Source organism: Homo sapiens, chromosome 7, assembly GCF_000001405.40.
Source record: "Homo sapiens chromosome 7, GRCh38.p14 Primary Assembly".
In the NCBI taxonomy this organism is placed as follows: domain Eukaryota; kingdom Metazoa; phylum Chordata; class Mammalia; order Primates; family Hominidae; genus Homo; species Homo sapiens.
The window spans coordinates 112,825,278-112,844,356 of record NC_000007.14 but is presented as its reverse complement, the minus strand read 5'-3'; the positions used below and the strand labels follow the sequence as shown (position 1 = coordinate 112,844,356).

Genomic DNA, 19,079 nt, shown 5'->3' with positions numbered 1-19,079 from the left:
ATGTCATCAGCAAATAGGGATGGTTTGACTTCCTTTCTATTATATTTGGATGCCCTTTATTTCTTTCTCTTATCCGATTGCTCTGGACAGGACTCCCAGTACTATGTTGAATAGGAGTGGTGAGAGGGCATCCTTGTCATGTGCTGGTTTTCAAAGGGAGTGCTTCCAGCTTTTGCCTATTCAGTATAATGTTGGCTGTGAGTATCTCATAGATGACTCATTATTTTGAGGTATATTCCTTCAGTGCCTAGTTTATTGAGAGTTTTTAACATGAAGGGATGTTGGACTTTATCAGAAGCCTTTTCTGCACCTATTGAGATGATCATGTGGTTTTTGTCTTTAGTTCTGTTTATGTGATGAGTCACATTTATTGATTTGCATATGTTGAACCAACCTGGCTTCCCAGGGATAAAGCCTACTTGACTGTGGTGGATTGGCTTTTCAATGTGCTGCTGGATTTGGTTTGCAAGTATTTTGTTGAGGATTTTTGCATGAGTGTTCATCAAGGATATTTCTTTTTTTGTTTTCTTTGCCAGGTTTGGTATCAGAATGATGCTGGCTTCATAGAATGAGGTGGGGAGGAGTCCCTCCTCCTCAGTCTTTTGGAATAGTTTCAGTAGGAGTGGTACCAGCTCTTTGTAGAATTCTACAGCTGTAGAATTCTGTGAATCCATCTGGTCCTGGGCATTTTTTGTTTGGTAGGCTACTTATTACTGATTCAACTGTAGAGCTCATTATTGGTCTGTTCAGGGAATGAATTTCTTCCTGGTTCAGTCTTGGAAGGGGATATGTGTTCAGGAATTTATCGGTCTCTTCTAGTTTTCTAGTTTCACTCCAATTAAAATTTAGCAATTCCTTCTTTTATGAATGTAGGCAGCAAAACTAGTATCTATGACTTTATTACTTAGAGAAATTACAGATGTTTGTATCATATTGTAGTTATATATATCAGAATACTTATTCTCATCACTACTTAGAAATTGTGGTAGTCATTATATTGCTGAATCCTCATTATTTAATGTGTTACTAAAGAAACACTTGTTACTATATCATAGCTTTGTTTTTCTTGTAATAGTATGATAACTATTTCAGGATAACTAATTTTGTGATTTGATTTATTCATGCATTTCTGAAAGCATTTTGAAAAGGGATCTGTCTTTAGACTGCTTAAAGGGGTTTGAGGGTCCAAAAATTATTTTAAAACCTTTGACTTAGAGGAAGAAGGTACACATGGTTGTATGATACAATCTTTCAAGACTCAAATTTATTCATTAGATGATTTAAATATTTGCTGAATTTAAGTTATAATTGGCAAAGAAGTTTTATTTGTTTGAAAACATTTAAGCAACTGAACATGCATTTTCAGGTAGTTCCTCTTGTGTTATAACAAGCACTTTTCTGTAGTTTTAGTTTTTTAATAATTTAATGAGGTATTGATTCTCAAGTTAGGTTCTCCTGCTATGTGCATTGCATATATTAATGTGGAAGTAAAGTGTATCAGTTAAGATCACTTAAGATTGGCCCTCTAGCCTTTTTTGATGAAGAAAGTACAGTCTTTTAATAGATACTCAAAGTCTATTGTCTTTAGCATACTTAACATATTCATGTAATACAGTACTTTCACATCAATGAACAGTAACAAAACACTACTACTGTTTATTTACATACACTTTCATAACTGTTGACTATGTTGTCACAAACTGATTTTATGCTGACTAGTTAGACTAAGATAATTTTATCTGTTTACTTATTTTACTTTAAAAGTTAAACTGGAATATGATTATCTAGGTATTCTAACCAATCTCCCAAACTGAAAACTTTTTTAAAATGATGGATAAATCTTCTTAGGTAAGAACTGATAAGGCCAAAATCCAAATGATGACGGGAAGCCAGAAAAGTAAGCAAAGCACAAAGCTTCTGTTGAGCTGAGAGCATTGGTCCAAACTGGCAAACTTGAGTGTTGGCTTTTACACTCCTCTTATAGAATTGAATCTCCAAACAGCTGCTTTCTCAATTTGGTGAACCAGAAGTAAATCTATTCCTTCATCCAAAGCAGACAGACCCTGAACAGGTTGAAACCATAGAATATCCCAAGCACAAATTCATATCTGCAAAGTGGGTCCACAAAACTTTAAACCTTGTATTTATTTAGTTGAAAGTGGCCCTAAACTGGTGGTACTCCAGGTAGCTTGACACAGCAAAGAGACTTCTACTCAAAGAATTTTCATAAATAATTTTTCAGGAAATGTAAATTGCTTATAGTAAAAATCATTACTAAGCATGTATGAAAACAAGGTACGACCTAAAGTCAGCAGAGGCAGCAAGAACAGACCTATAAAGGCTTTGTATATTAGAATTATGAATCACAATTTATAAAACAAGCTATTTTATGGTTTTAGGTCTTAAGTTTAAGTCTTTAATCCATCTTGAGTTAATTTTTGTATAAGGTGTAAGGAAGGTGTCCAGTTTCAGTTCTTCGCATATGGCTAGCCAGTTTTCCCAACACCATTTATTAAGTAGGAAATCCTTTCCCCATTGCTTGTTTTTGTCAGGTTTGTCAAAGATCAGATGGTTGTAGATGTGTGGTGTTGTTTCTGAGGCCTCTGTTCTGTTCCATTGGTCTGTATCTCTGTTTTGGTACCACTACCATGCTGTTTTGGTTACTGTAGCCTTCTAGTATAGTTTGAAGTCAGGTAGTGTGATGCCTCCAGCTTTGTTCTTTTTGTTTAGGATTGTCTTGGCTATACGGGCTCCTTTTTTGGTTCCATATGAAATTTAAAGTAGTTTTTTTCTAATTCTGTGAAGAAAGTCAATAGTAGCTTGATGGGGATAGCATTAAATCTATAAATTTGGGCAGTATGGCCATTTTCATGAAATTGATTCTTCCTATCCATTAGGATAGAATGTTTTTCCATTTGTTTGTGTCCTCTTATTTCCTTGAGCAGTGGTTTGTAGTTCTCCTTGAAGAGGTCCTTCACATCCCTTGTAAGTTGTATTGCTAGGTATTTTATTTTCTTTGTAGCAATTGTGAATGGGAGTTCACTCATGATTTGGCTTTCTGTTTGTCTATTATTGGTGTATACGAATGCTTGTGATTTTTGCCCATTGATTTTGTATCCTGAGAGTTTGCTGAAGTTGCTTATCAGCTTAAGGAGATTTTGGTCTGAGACGATGGGGTTTTCTAAATATACAATCATGTCATCTGCAAAGAGACAATTTAGCTTCCTCTTTTCCTATTTGAATACCCTTTATTTCTTTCTCTTGCCGGATTGCCTTGGCCAGAACTTCCAGTACTTTGTTGAATAGGAGTCGTGAGAGGGGGCATCCTTGTCATGTGCCAGTTTTCAGAGGGAATGCTTCCAGTTTTTGCCTATTCAGTATGATATTGGCTGTGGGTTTGTCATAAATAGCTCTTATGATTTTGAGATATGTTCCACCAATACCTAGTTTATTGAGAGTTTTTAGCATGAAGGGGTGTTGAATTTTATCGAAGGCCTTTTCTGCATCTATTGAAATAATCATGTGGTTCTGTTAATGTGATGGATTACATTTATTGATTTGCGTATGTTGAGCCAGCCTTGCATCCCAGGGATGATGCTATTTTAGAGAAAAGAATTGCTTGAAAATTTCTACGGGAAATAGAAACTTTAAAGACTAGCCATTTGGAAAGCCAAAATTATTTAAAATAAACTCAGTATATGGAATGAATTGAAGAGGAATTATCAAACTAGGAAACATTATCATCCAGATAACATTATTATCTTGTCTTGCCTCACACAGACAAGAAAATGTAAAATAAAAAAAATAAAATGGTTAAAGACAGAAGTTAAAAATGAAGTATAACTTTCATCTTTATTGGAGTTGCAGAAGGAGAGGCGAGAATGGGAAAGCCAAACCTCACTTAAAAGAAATTCTAAAGCTATCTTTCAGGCAGAAAAAAAGTGATCCCAAATGGAAAGTCTAAACAGATATACACCAGTAATAATAATAGAATTGAAATACACAAAATGACTAATTTATGTGGTTAACAGAATTTTAAGTGTTCTCAAGGTTTTGTATGGTCTGGGTGAAGACAAAGGCAATGTAAAATTTTCAAATTAGCAAAATCAAAAACATGGAATTACTAAGATTTAAAAAGGAAAAATCTAAAACCAGTTCTCAACTTTAGCTATACCATACATTCACCTAGGGAGCTTTTGAAAATCATAATGCCCAGACTCCATCGTACCCCTCAATTAAATCAGAATCTCTGGGTGTTGTTAAAACTTCCAGTGTGATTCCAAAGAAAGTACAGAGTGTGAGAAAAGAAACATAGAATAGGTAGAGCAGATAGAAAGTGCAAAAGTAATATAACAGATCAAAATATTCCAATTAAAACATAGATTGTCAGACTCTGAATATAAAAATCCAATTTATGCTCTTATGAGAGATATCCAAAACATGAGGCTTTAGAGTATCATTGCTAGAGATAAAGGAGACATTTTTTGTGATAAAAGGTGTGATTTAGTAGGAAAATATAACAATTTTTAATTTGTGCCTAATAGTATCGTATGCATATATGAAACAAATATTGAATAAATAATGAAATTTATTAACACTTCATATATATAATGAAAATTGACAAATCTATAGTTGTTTTGGGGAGATTTATTTTTGATGGTTGTTTGATCCAGGATTCATCAAAGATTACATATAGTATCTAGTTAAATATCTCTTGGACTGCATTAATACAGAAAACTCCCTGTGATTACATTAATGTTTCTGGTAAGCATGCTACATAGGTGATATTGGGTTCTCAGGGCATCACTCAGATTTTCAGTGATGTTTGATCTTTTGACTAAGGTGATGTCTGCCAGATTCCTCCCAAGTACCTTTAGTCTGTAATTTGTGGAGTGAATTATATACATAAACACCAAGTGAAGTTTCTGTTTTCACCAGTGGCTTTAGCATCCATTAGTGGTCTTGCCTAAATCAAGTTGTTTTTATTACAGTGGTTGCAAAATGGTGATTAATTTCTATCTTGCTCAAATATATTGGTTGGCATTCTTTTGTAAAAACATCTTTCCTTTCTCCCCCTTTCTTATTTAAGTACCTGTAGTCTCAGATTTTAAATCATTGTGTTAAAGTTCATTCTTATGATGGTGAAATCATCCCAAATTAGGCCAATGGAAATGCCTTTAAAGTAGTTTCTTTTACCTTGTCATAGTGTTTGAGCAGTGCTTTACTTTCTTGTACAATAAGATCATCGAGGCTTAACCATGTACTTTCTCTGCTTCAACCCTGGCATAAGCTGTTCCTCTAAGTAGTACAGGTTCCTTTTAGTGAGAGAACGGTATTTAGAAACCAAATTCTGAGTATTAGATATGCTTTTTGTTACTGTGGTGTCACTGCTTTGACATCCTTTCTTATGAAACCTCTAATTCTAATCCATCACTGCAGGGTTTTTTCCCTCCGTTCCCTCATTCTGAGTTTGTATCTCTCAGCAACTTTAGTTTATTTGCTATTTGCTCAGCTCTTCAAGACACACAAAATAATTTCAAGATGACTATATCAGCACTACCACAACAACAAACATTAAAATTCAGGATATTTTTGCAGTTCTTTTTTTTTGTCCTTAGAATATTACCCATCAAGATTATTGTCTTTAGAATAGTATGCTCAAATGGTATTGAATTATTGGTTTTCCTTCTGTGTTATTTGACATTTAACTAGATTCATTAGTTTATAGTGGTTTTATTTTTTGAATATGTAAAACATTAACAACTTCCAAAAGTCAAAACTACAATGAACGGTATACTCAGACATCCCATCTCATACTTAAAGCATCCACCTTGTTCCAGATCTTCTGAGGTTTTATTAGTTTCTGGGTTATCCTTTCTAGATTTCTTTTTTGCAAAAATAAACATATATGAAAATAACAAAATACCTTTAAATCAATTTGCAGAGATTATTCTGTTTTCTTAATGGTGGAAGATTGAGGAAACATTCAAAAAGTAAGACTATCAATATTTGAACAACATGATTAACAAACTTGCCCACTTATAAACATAGATGTAAAATCCTGAAAATACCTACACACAGTCGATTCTCATTTGTAAATTCCCTGTCTGTGAATTACCTAACTTACTAAAACTTACTTACTTGTAACCCTACAATCAATACTTGTGGCAAAAAATTTGACTCATTCTACACATAAACCTCCCAACTGAGGTCCAACAAGGTGAGCTATGCCTTGTTTCCGCTCTCTCACACAAACACCCTTTTCACAGCCTATTTGGTGTTACATTTTTTGTTTGTGCTTTTTGTTGATGTCTTTGCTTTTAAAACAACCCCCACATATGGTGTTGAAGTCTAGTGTTCCTGAGCACAAGAATGCTGTATTGTGCCTTAACGAAGAAAAATACATGTGTTATGTAAGCTTCCTTCAGGCATGAGTTATAGTGCTGTTGGCCACGAGTTCAATGTTAATGCATCAACAATACGTATTAAATACAGTGCTTTTAAACAGAAACATATAAATTCAAGGTATGTATTGATGAAAATGTTATGACCAGAGACCTAATCCTGTAGTTTCCATAAGAGCCATTGTTTAGCATTCACTAATTCAACATTCATGGTCACTTTATAGAACCAAATGACCACAAGTAGCCAGAATTTACTGTATATACACACAGACATATAAAACAAATCCTCAGATTATGAAAAGAATAATATATAGAAACCAAATTAGGACCTTCCAAAGAATGCAAGATTGATTTGACACTATACAATTAATGAATTTTTTTCTACCACATAGATTAGTCATATCTGCACAAATATATAGAATGCATTTGATAAAATTCCACATGGATTTGTGTCAAAAAAGGAAAAACCACCCTAGCTAAGCATAAAATGATTTCCTGAAGTCCTGGCCAGAGCAACCAGGCAAGAGAAATAAAAGGAACAAATAGAAGCAGAGAAGTCCAACTATCTCTGTTTGCAGATGACATGATTCTATATCTAGAAAACCCCATAGTCTCTGCTAAAAGCTCCCAGATCTGATGATCAACTTCAGCAGAGTTTCAGGATACAAAATAAATGTACAAAAATCAGCAGCATTCCTATACATCAAGAACATTCAAGCTGAGAGCCAAATCAAGAACACAACCCCATCCACAATTGCCACAAAAAGAATAAAATACCTAGAATACAGCTAATCAGGGAGGTGAAAAATCTCTGCAACAAGAATTGCAAAACAATGCTCGAATCAGAGATGACACAAACAAATGGAAAACATTTCATGCTCATGGATAGGAAGAATCATTATTGTTGAAATGGCCATACTGTCAAAGCAATTTACAGATCCAGTGCTATTTTCATCAAACTACCAATGACATTCTTCACAGAATTAAGAAAAACTAGTTTAAAATTCATATGGAACCAGAAAAGAGCCCAAATCACCAAGGCAATTCTAAGCAAAAATAACAAAGCTGGAGGCATCACATGTTACCCAACTTCAAACGATACTATAGGGCTACAGTAAACAAAACAGCATGGTACTGGTACCAAAACAGACACACAGACCAATGGACAGAATAGAGAACCCAGAAATAAAACCTACAACCATCTGATCTTCGATAAAGTTGACAAAAGCAATGGGGACAGGACTCGCTATTTGCTGGGATAACTAGCCATATGCAGAAGATTGAAACTGGACCTCTTTCTTACACCATACACAAAAATAAACTCAAGATCAGTTAAAAAGACTTAAATGTTAAACTAGAAAAACCTTGGAAGATAACCTAGGAAATACCATTCTGGACATAAAACCTGGGAAAGATTATGACAAAGATGCCAAAAGTAATTTTAACAAAAACATTGACAAGTGGGACCTACTTAAACTAAAGAGCTTCTGCACAGCAACAGAAACTATCAACAGAATAAACAGACAACCTACAGAATGGGAGAAAATATAACCATGCATCTGACAAAGGTCCAATATCCAGCATCTATAAGGAACTTAAACAAATTTGCAGGTAGAAAACAACCCCATTAAAAAGTAGGCAAAGGACATGAACAGACACTTCTCAAAAGAAGACAAACGTGTCCAACAAGCATATGAAAAAATGCTCAACATCACTAAACGTTAGAGAAATGCAAATCAAAACCACAGTGAGATACCATCTCACAGGCATCAGAATGGCTATTATTAAAAAGTCAAAAAATAACAGCTGCTGGCAAGGTTGCAGAGAAAGGGGAATGCTAATACAGTGCTGGTGGGAATGTAAATGAGTTCAGCCATTGTGGAAAGCAGTGTAGCAATTCCTCAAAGAACTTAAAACAAAATTACCACTAGACTCAGCAATCCCCCATTATTGGGTATACACCCAAGGGACTATAAATCATTCTACAATAAAGACACATGCACACATACGTTCATCACGGCACAGTTCACAATAGCAAAGACATGGAATCAACCTAAATGCCCAACAGCAGTAGACTGGATAAAGAAAACATGGTACATATACACCATAGAATACTATGCAGCCATAAAAAAGAATGAAATCATGTCCTTTTTAGCAACATGGATGGAGCTGGAGGTCATTATCCTAAGCAAACTAATTCAGGAACAGAAAACCACATACTTCATGTTCTCACTTGTTAGTGGGAGCTAAGTGATGAGAACACATGGACCCAAAGAGGGAAACAACATACACTGGGGATTACTTAAGGGTGGAGACAGAGAAGGGAGAGAATAAAAAAAACTACCTATTGGGAACTATCTTTATTACCTGGGTGACAAAATAATCAGTACACCAAACTCCTGAGACACGTAGTTTACCTGTGTAACCTGTACATGTACCCCTGGACCTAAAATAAAAGTTTATAAAAGAACTTCAACTTTATTAAGGGTAGTATCTAAAACCTATACCAGTTATTACATTTAATGGTGAAACACTGGAATGTTCCTTCTGATGTAAGATTAATAGTGTCCATCCACTTGCCCACTTCTATCTACCAACATATTGGAAGTCCTCAGCAGAGTGGTAAGGAGGTAAAAAATGGATGGGTAGGTGGGTGATAGGAGAGGATGAAACACAAATGTCATTTTTCACAGATTAGGAACTTATGTACCTGGAGTACACAAAATAATATACAGATAAACAATCGAGATAAATTTAGTAAAGCTGCTGGATCTAAAAAAAATAATGCATAGTAGCCACCCCTTCTTCACAGAGAGTACATGCTGACACCCCCATGGAGGCCTAAAACCACAGACATTACTGAATCCTATACATACTATGTTTTTATATATACATACCCATGATAAAGTTTAATTTATAAGTTAGGCACAAGAAGAATAACAATAAAATAGAACAATTATAACAAAATGCTATAAAAATTACGTGAGTATGGTATCTCAAAGTATCTTATTGTACTTCATTTACTCACATAATTTTTAAAGTATTTGAGTATGGTATCTCAAAGTGTCTTATGGTACTTCACTTACCCTTATGATGTGAGATGATAAAATGCCCATACAATGGGATGGAGTGAGGTGAATCACATAGGTATTGTGACTTAGCGTTAGGCTACTGTTGACCTTCTGACCGTACATCAGGAGGAGGAGGATCACCTGCTTTCAGTAATCCTAGATCATGAAGCCATGCCTATGTGAATTGTTAGATATCAGGATCATAAGATATCCTGTTAATGACTAATGCAAAAAGCGTGGATACTTTGGACAAATGGATGTGATTCGTGTCCTGGGTCTGACGGTGTGAGAATTTACCATGCTACTCAGAATGTCACGCAATTTAAATCTCATGAATTGGTTTATTTCTGGAATTTTCTGTTGAGCATTTTCAGACCATGGTTAACTGCGGGTAACTGAAACCACAAAAGGTGAAACACCAGATAAGGGGGGACTATTGTATCCAAGTCAATTGCATCTGTGTAACCAACAATAAAAAATGAAATTGAAAAAAAAAAAAGTAAAGTGTATCCATGGGAAAAAAGATAATAAAAGCATCAAAAACTAGGAAATACCAAGGAATATAACTCCAACAAAAGATGTGAGGGAACTTTTTAGAGAAAATGATCAAAACTATTGACAGTTTTTTAAGTAAATGGATAACTATTCATGTTCATGAATTTGAAGATTGAATATTGTAAAGATGTTAATTCTCCTTAAGTGATCTTTAGACTTAATGCCATGCTAATAAAAGTCTTAAGTGTACTACTGTACAGCAGTAAAAGTGAATTATAGAAGCACAAACAACTCAAAAACAACAGCAAATGAAAGCAGCAAGTTACAAAATGTAGTGTAAAACTAAACTGTAGACATTCAGTCGTAGGTACTTAAGACTATAAAAGGAAATCAAGGGAATAAATAAGGATAAGTGACTAAAATAGGGATAGTGACTACCTAAAATAAAGGTGTGGGGGATGTCATCAGGGAGGGTCATGTTTCCAGGATGCAGTCATTATGTCTTGACCTGAGTGGTAATTACATGGTCACTCACTGAGTGTATATTTTATGCAAATAAAAAATTAAGGAGCGAAGCCAAATAATTTGAAATAGGCTTAGTATATTGCTGACAATTGATCAGTTATTAAGCTAATCCATGATATGATTAAGTTATTGGTGATTGTTCCATAATGTTGAAGTAACTTGAATGGTTTAGGATACTTCATTGAGAAAGAAAATTCAATTTATAAGAAGTATATTTTTTTAAGACTCTCAGAAATGTTTTGCTACTCAGTTTACTAGAATCTATACTACAGAATTTAGCATATAGCAAATTCTGCTTTTACTAGGGAAGATCATTAGTGGAAGAAATACAAATTTTTTATAAAACATGGTAATAGTGAGCAATGATATGTACCACTTTTTGAGCACTTACCATGTACTAGGCATAGGGTCAAGTATTAATGTATTATCTTATTAATTCTGGGAAAAAGTCTAAGGGTAAATACCACTATTATCCCCGTATTACATGTTAAGGGTCAGAGTCAGTTTATGGTCTTAGCCTTTCTGATTCGAGAACTCCTTAACCATAGCCCAATAAGGGTAAGAATGACTAGTAGTGTGTATAGTATTACGTATTGTTACAGATTCTCATTTGTTTTTTACTCTCACTCTGAGTGTAGAGTGGAGTTTTCCAGAGACTACATAGCATGTGATGTTGCAACAGCCTGAATGCAAAAGCAGATATTAGAATTCATTCATCTTCAATTAAGCCAGACATTAGAGACTTGAAAAAATATATTTTTTAAAAATGGGGGTTGGGGGTGGGGGAGCCAGGCTCAGTGGCTCACGCCTCTAATCCCAATACTTTGGGAGCTGAGGCTGGAGGATCACTTGAGCTCAGGAGTTCAAGACCAGCCTGGGCAATACAGCAAGACCTTGTCTCAATTTTTAAAAAATTAAATAAGTAAATATATATAAAACAAGGCTGTACTTTTTTACTATCCTTTTTAAGTCTAATAAATGAATATTTTTAAGACTTGTTCATCTTAACTTCAAATATGATCATTATTAATAGATATAACTCACAGAAATGAAAGCTCATTGGGGCCGTCAGTAATTTTTATATGTGTAAAAGGGTCCTGAGACCAAAAAGTTAAAGAACTGATAATCTATGTGATTTCTTACATTCTCATATTTGATTTTGTTCTTATAAAATATCTGTTTTTAGGTTGCTACAAGCCTCAGGAAAAATCAGATTACTTGATGTTGGCAGCTGCTTTAACCCATTTCTGAAGTTTGAAGAATTTCTAACTGTTGGCATAGATATTGTACCTGCTGTAGAGGTATGCATAGTTTTGTTTTTGGACTTTAATATTTTACATGTATATTTACAAAAGAAAAGCACTGTCTTTGCATCCCTAAAATAGCAAATGTATTTCCTGTGTACCCATTGAGGAGAGATTTCAAAACTAAATACATTTTGTGAATAATTGAGCATTTAACCAAATATTGTCTTTATTTTCTTTATCATCTAAATAGCCATAATCTAAAACTATGTTAGAGCAAAATCATTGCAATTAAGAAACTTCAACTGGGCATGGTGGATCACTCCTGTAATCCCAACACTTTAGGAGGCCAAGATGGGTGGATCACCTGAGGTCAGGAGTTTGAGACCAGCCTGGCCAACATGGTGAAACCCCGTCTCTACTAAAAAATAAAAAAAATGTAGCTGGGCGTGGTGGCAAGCGCCCATAATCCCAGCTACTCAGGAGGCTGAGGCAGGAGAATCGCTTGAACCCGGGAGGCGGAGGTGGCAGTGAGTCGAGATCGCGCCACTGCACTCCAGCCTGGGTGACACAGTGAGACTCCGTCTAAAAAAAAAAAAAAAAAAGAAACTTCAGTAGATTACAGAATTCCACATAGCTGTAGTGTTTGGGTTTTGCATTTTGTTATATTTGGTTTATTATTTTCTTTTAATGCATCTCTTTCTGAAATATACAGTGTTGTAGAGCCATTATGGAATAGTAGAAAGAGGCAAGGGCTTTGGCATCAGCCAGAACTTTATTAAATCCAGCTTGTTTGTACTTGAGTCGATGAAACTACTTAACACTTGGCCTGGTACATTATGGGAACTCAATAAATGATAGATACTATCCTTTCTTTTGAGAACATTTCCTATGGGTCAGTTATTATGACACTATCATTTCAATTCAGTGAAGCAGGATCACCTTATCAGCTTGAACTTTTTTTTAAGATGGAGTTTTGCTCTTGTTGCCCAGGCTTGAGTGCAGTGGCATGATCACTCACTGCAACTTATGCCTCCCGGGTTCCAGTGATTCTCCGGCCTCAGCCTCCTAAATAGCTGGATTACAGGCATGTACCACCACGCCCAGCTAACTTTGTATTTTTGGTAGAGACAGGGTTTCACCATGTTGGTCAGGCTGGTCTCGAACTCCTGACCTCAGGTGATCCACCTGCCTCAACCTCCCAAAGTGCTGGGATTGCAGGCATGAGCTACTGCACCCAGCCACCTTGAACTTTCTTTTACCTTAATCATGTGATGCCAAGAGTTTGTGTTAAAGGCATTTTTTAAAGATAGATAACTCTAAAGTAGGCACATTATTTATATCAGAAAAAGACTTTTTTCCAGAATAACATTAATTCATTATGTTTACCATTTTACTCTTGATAGAACTCTAGACATAAAAATTTTTACAAAATGCATTTAAATAGTTACAAAATGCATTTTAATGTTATTTTTAAAGTATGGATTAGAGTATTAATATATTAGTTATTAGGGATTTTTTTCCCTCTATTGCTGTATTCCCAGTACCTAGAAGAGTGCCTAGTATATTTAATACTTTTTTAAATAAAAGAATAGAATCATGTTTCCAGCCTAGGTTTGAACCTCTCCATCACCATTTTCTAGTCTCTGATCCTCAGTTTTCTCATCTGTATAATGGGGTTAGTAGTAGACCACATTTCATAGGTTGTTGTAATGTTTTCTTGAAAAAAAAAAAAAAGTATTTAAAGCATCAAGCATAGTAGCTCTTATACAGTGCCTGCTAAATAAATGTTTGTTGTTACTACTGGTAAATTCCTGCATGAAGATTTAACTTTCATATGAAACTTTGATTATGAATCATTTTGATGAGCATGATTAAATCTGTATAACATCAAGGAACAAGCAAGTCCTAAAACCATTACTGTTATTTCTACTTTCGTTTTCTCTATTATAAAATCACTGTTCTTAGCTTACCACTGCAGAGAAGTTCTGTGCCATCAGGAACTAGTTTTAAAGCCCAAGTGGCTTCATGCATGGATTATCTTCCCTTCCTTCCTCAAGATATACATGAGAGATGTTCTTCAGGGACTGCTGAGACACCATGACCATTTGATCTGATCCTTAAGCTTAATATTAAATCTATTTATGGATAGGTTTATAAACACTGAATTGTATAGTCACCAGGGAAGACAAAAGACGGCTATACATAACTTAAGTAGTAGAATCAGAGTTTCACAGTTCAGAATCCTATAACTAATTTTAAAACAGAGTAAAGGGACTTACTCTTCCAGCCAAGATGGGATAAGATAGACCAGCTTTATCCTCTTCCACTTGAAGCAACAAAATATTCGAAATAATTTTGACACTGCACATCAGGTAATGAAGGACAGTAATCTCTGAGAGATGGAAAACAAATGAGACAAGCCCTACAATTACTCTAGGATATTGCCTTGAGAGAGTTTCCAGGATATAGCACAGGGAGAAACCCAAGCAGAGTTCAGGTGATTCTGTGAGTTGTGAAGAGTCCTAGGGAGTTGAGAGTCCTAGGAGACCGAGGCAGCTAGAGTTTCTAGAATGGTCTACTGAAAATAAGAAAGCCATAGAGGGAAAACTCCAGAGGCCTGCAAAAGGTCCCCTTTGAATACTCAGCTGAGTACAAATCAGCACACATGTATATGAGAAAACTACATGAGACTAGATAAGGTACTGTCCAAAAGGCTTAGAGATTACAGTGGCCAGCAGTCACACAGAGAAGTATTAATATTGTACCTGTTCCCATCAGCCATACTGGAGCATTCAAGATTCACAGACATTTAATAGAGTACACAGAGAAGGGTCTTACCTCAATAATGGAGAATAATTTGCCTTAGACTAAATACTAGTGCTCTAGTCCCATGTAACAAATCTTAAAAGTAAGACCCAAAAACTTCAGATTGTCTCCAGGTTTCTTAACTACATCCCAGAACACAGTTCAGGAATATTTATAGCAATCCATAGTTATGTAGAACCCACCAAGGTAAAATTCACCATGTCTAGCATCCAAAAAAAATTACAGCCATGCAAAGCAGCAAGAAAATAGGACCCACAGTGAGGAGATAAATCAGCCAACAATGACCAACCCTGAACTGACACAGAAACAGGGACATTAAAATAGAGATAATACCAGTTTGGGAAAATTACTTAAGCTAAACTTTTACACAGTTTATATTCTTTCCTTATATGTGTTATGCTTCAATACAGTTTTATTATTTAAAAAAATCAAAACTGTATAAAAAGCTAAGTAGAAATAGGAAGATATTTTAAAATACCCAAATCTATCTTCTAAAGACAGATACTATAATGTGTGATGTGAAGATGCATACTGGATAGGATTAATGCATATTAGATGTTGCAGAAGGAAAGGGAAATTGAAGATACAACAATAGCAGCTATCCAAAATGAAACAGAAAATTTTTTAAATAGAAGAGCATCAGTGATACAAATCTAAGCAACTAAATATAAGCATAATTGGAATCCCCCAAAAGGTGGGGGATTTGAAAAAATGGCCAAAAACTTTCCAATTTAATTAAAGCTTTAAACTCACAAATTCAAAGAAGCCCAACAAACCCCAAACAAAAGAAACATCAAGAAAATTACACCAAGGAACATCAAATCAAACTTCTAAAACTAGTGATAAAATCTTAAAAGCTCCCAGAAATTGTAAAGACACCTTAAAGTACTGAAGGAAAAAGTCACCTAGAATTTTATACCCAGCCAAAATGTCTTTCAAAAATGAAGATGAAATCGATTTTCTTCAGATGTGTAAAAGCTGAAATTCAATATTAGCAAGCTTGTATTATAAGAAATGTTAAGGTGGAAGTGCTTTAGCCAGTTAGAAATATGGCTCTACACAAAGGAATGAAGAATACTAGAAGTGATAACTATACAGCTAAAAAGATTTTCTCTTGTTGTTTAAACTCTTTAAAGATAATTTACCATTGTTTCGGGTTGAATTATGTCAACCTAAAACAGATATGTTGGAGTTCTAACTCTAAAGATGTGACTTTATTTGAAGATAGGAGCTTTACAGAGGTAATCAAATTAAACAGGGGTGATTACAGTGGCCCCTAGTCCAATAAGACTCTGGTATACTTATAAAAAGGAGAAATTTTAACTCAGAAACAAGCACACAGGGAGAACGTCACATGAAGATGAACACAGAGATTGGAGAGATGCATCTATAAACCAAAGACCACCAAAGATTGCCAGCAAACCACTAGAGGCAAGGCAAGAGGCATTGATTAGATTCTCCCTCACAGCCCTCAAAAGGAAGAAATCTTCCCACAATCTTGACCTCAGACTTCTAAGCCTCCAGAACTATGAGAAAATTTATATTGTTTAAGCCACCCAGTTCATGGTACTTTGTTACAACAGCACTAGCAAACTAATACAACAACTTAAGCAAAAATAATGATATAGAGTGGGGTTTTTAATATAGATAAAATGAACATTTATGACAGTAGCATAAAGGGTGACATGAGAGAATCAGAAATATACTTGGCCCTCCATATACTTGGATTCCACATCTGTGGATGCAGTCAACCACAGATCAAAAATATTTGCGGCAGGGCATGGTGGCTTACACCTGTAATATCCCAGCACTTTGGGAGGCCAATGCAGAAGGACTGCTTGAGCCCAGGAGCTTGAGACCAGCCTATGCAACACAGCAAGACCCCATCTCTACAAAAAATAAAAAAGTTAGCCACGCATGGTGCACTTGTAGTCCCAGCTGCTCAGGAGACAGATGGGAGGATCGCTTGAGCCCTGGAGGTTGAGGCTGCAGTGATCCAAGATTGTGCCACTGCACTCCAGCCTGGGCAACAGAGGGAGACCCTGTCTCAATAAATAAAAATAACAATACAACAATAAAAATAATATAGCATAACAACTATTTACATAACATTACATTGCATTACATATTATAAGTAATCTAGAGATGACTTAAAATATATGGGAGGATATGCATAGGGTGTATGCAAATATACCATTTTATATAAAGGACTTGAACGTGGATTTGGGTATGTACAGTGGTTCCTGGAACCAGTCCACTGTGATAATATTAGTACTTTGAGGTTCTTATACATTAAGTGGTGTAATATCACTTGAAGGTAGACTGATAAGTTAAAGCAACTGCTGAAATAAAAGAGTTATACCTAATCAGCCAACAAGGCTAATAAAATCATAAAAAATTTAGTTAATTCAAAAGATGAAGGAAGAGGGGAAGGGAACAACAATCAAGTGAGACAAGTAGAAAATAAATAGCAAGATTATAGATTTAAAACCTAATCACATCAATCAACACATTAAATAGAAATGGCCTAAATGCCCCAATTGAAAGGCAAAGACTGGCAGATTGGGGGAAAAAAGCCAAGACCCAAATATATGTTGCCCATAAGAAATGTACTTCAATTATTAAGACACAAATAGAGTGAAAGCAATAAGATGGAGAAAAGAAAGCTGGCATGGCTACATTAAAATTAGACAAAGTATATTTCAGAGCAAAGAATATGATCAGGGATAAAAATGACATTCCATAATGATTAAAGGGTCAGTTCATCAAGAGTACATAACAATCCTAAACCAAACTTGGTCTATGCACCTAATAACAAAGCTTCCAAATATGTAAACCAAAAACTGATAAACTGTCAAGGAAACATAAACATTGATAAAATTATAGAGATTTCAGCACCCCTCTAAATAATTCCTAGAACAGGTATACTGAACACTTGGCGAAGAATTCACAATGGAAATTAGAACTTTTTTGAAATAAAAATACAAGATATCAAAATGCATAGATGTCACTAAAGTCACAAAAGTAGTACTTAGGGGAAAATTATAGCACTAAACACCTTTATTAGGTAACAGTCTCAAAGCAATGACATCAACTTTTCAACTAGAAGAAAAAAGAAGAGCAGTAAATCCAAAAGGAAATAATGATCAGAGCAGAAATCAAATGAAATAGAAAACTTTCAGAAAAATAGGGAAAATTAATGAAAGCAAAAGCTAGTTCTTTGAGTAGATGAATAAAATTTATAAACTCTAGCCTACTGATCAGAAGTAAAGAGAAAAAGGTAACATCATGACAGATTTTACCAACATTAAAAGTATAAGAAAATATTTTGAACAACTTTATGCCAATAAATTCGACAATTCAAATGGACCAATTCCTTGAAAGACATAACCACCAAAGCTTATTCATGAAGAAACAGATAAGATGAATGGCCCTAAATCTATTGAAGAAATTATGAATTGGCAGTTTAAAACCTTCCCACAAAGAAAATTCCAGGCACTAACGCCTGCATGTTAAAATTTACCAAATATTTACAGAAGAAATAATACCAATTATATATATTCTCTTCCATAAAATTGAAATGGATGGAATACTTCCCAACTCATTCTATGAGGCCATTACTCTGGTATCAAAATCAGACAAATGTTATAAAACAAAACTACAGATCCATATCCCTTATGAATATAGATACAGATGTTCTATACAAAATTTCAGCAAATTGAATCCAACAAGGTATTTTAAAAGGATAATATATAATGGCCAAGTTTGGTTTATCTCAGGAATGCAAGCTTGGTTTAAAATTCAAAAACAATCTATCGTATGAACTCAAAAAGAAAAAGTCATTTGATCATTTCAGTAGGCACAGAAAAGGCATTTGACAAAGCTTTGACAAAATTCAACATCTGGACTTTCCTGATTTAAAAAAAAAAAAAAAACTCAGAATTTAAGGGAATTTCTTGAACCTGATAAAGGGTATCTGAAAAATCTCCAGCTAACATCATCCTTAATGGTGAAAGAAAAATGCTTTTCTCACAAAAACAAGATAAGGATGTTTACTCTTACAGCTTCTATTTAGCATTTGTACTAGAGGTTCTAACAATTCAGTAAAGCAAGAAAAAGCAATAAGCAGCATGCACATTGGAAAGAAGTAAAACTGTATTCACAGGTGTCATCGATCATCTATTTGATTTTTCTGTGTAATCTTCAAAGAAGCTCCTAAAACTAACAAATGAGTTTAGCAAGGTTGCAAGAGACAAGATCAATATACAGAAATTTGTGTGTATATACTAGCAGCAACCAATCAGAAATTTTAACTAAAAACAGTACCATACTCTGGCATCAAAAATATGAAATGTTTATTTTATATGTGAGTATATATGAAATATGTAGCTCATAAATCTGACAAAAGTAGAAAAATCCACATGCTGCAAACCACAAATTAGGAGAAAGTAAAGATGACCTAAGGTGGGTGCAGTGGCTCACACCTGTAACCGCAGCATTTTGGGAGGCCT

General features: G+C 34.9%; 1 protein-coding gene across 1 annotated transcript in view; it reads left to right on the top strand.

Annotated features, from left to right (window-relative positions):
• Positions 1–19,079, top strand: part of SAMTOR (S-adenosylmethionine sensor upstream of mTORC1) — a 120,729-nt gene that overhangs the window by 95,519 nt on the left and 6,131 nt on the right. The window contains exon 4 of the mRNA NM_152556.3: positions 11,682–11,796. Coding sequence (NP_689769.2) covers positions 11,682–11,796 — 115 coding nt within the window. The remainder of the gene's footprint in view (positions 1–11,681; positions 11,797–19,079) is intronic.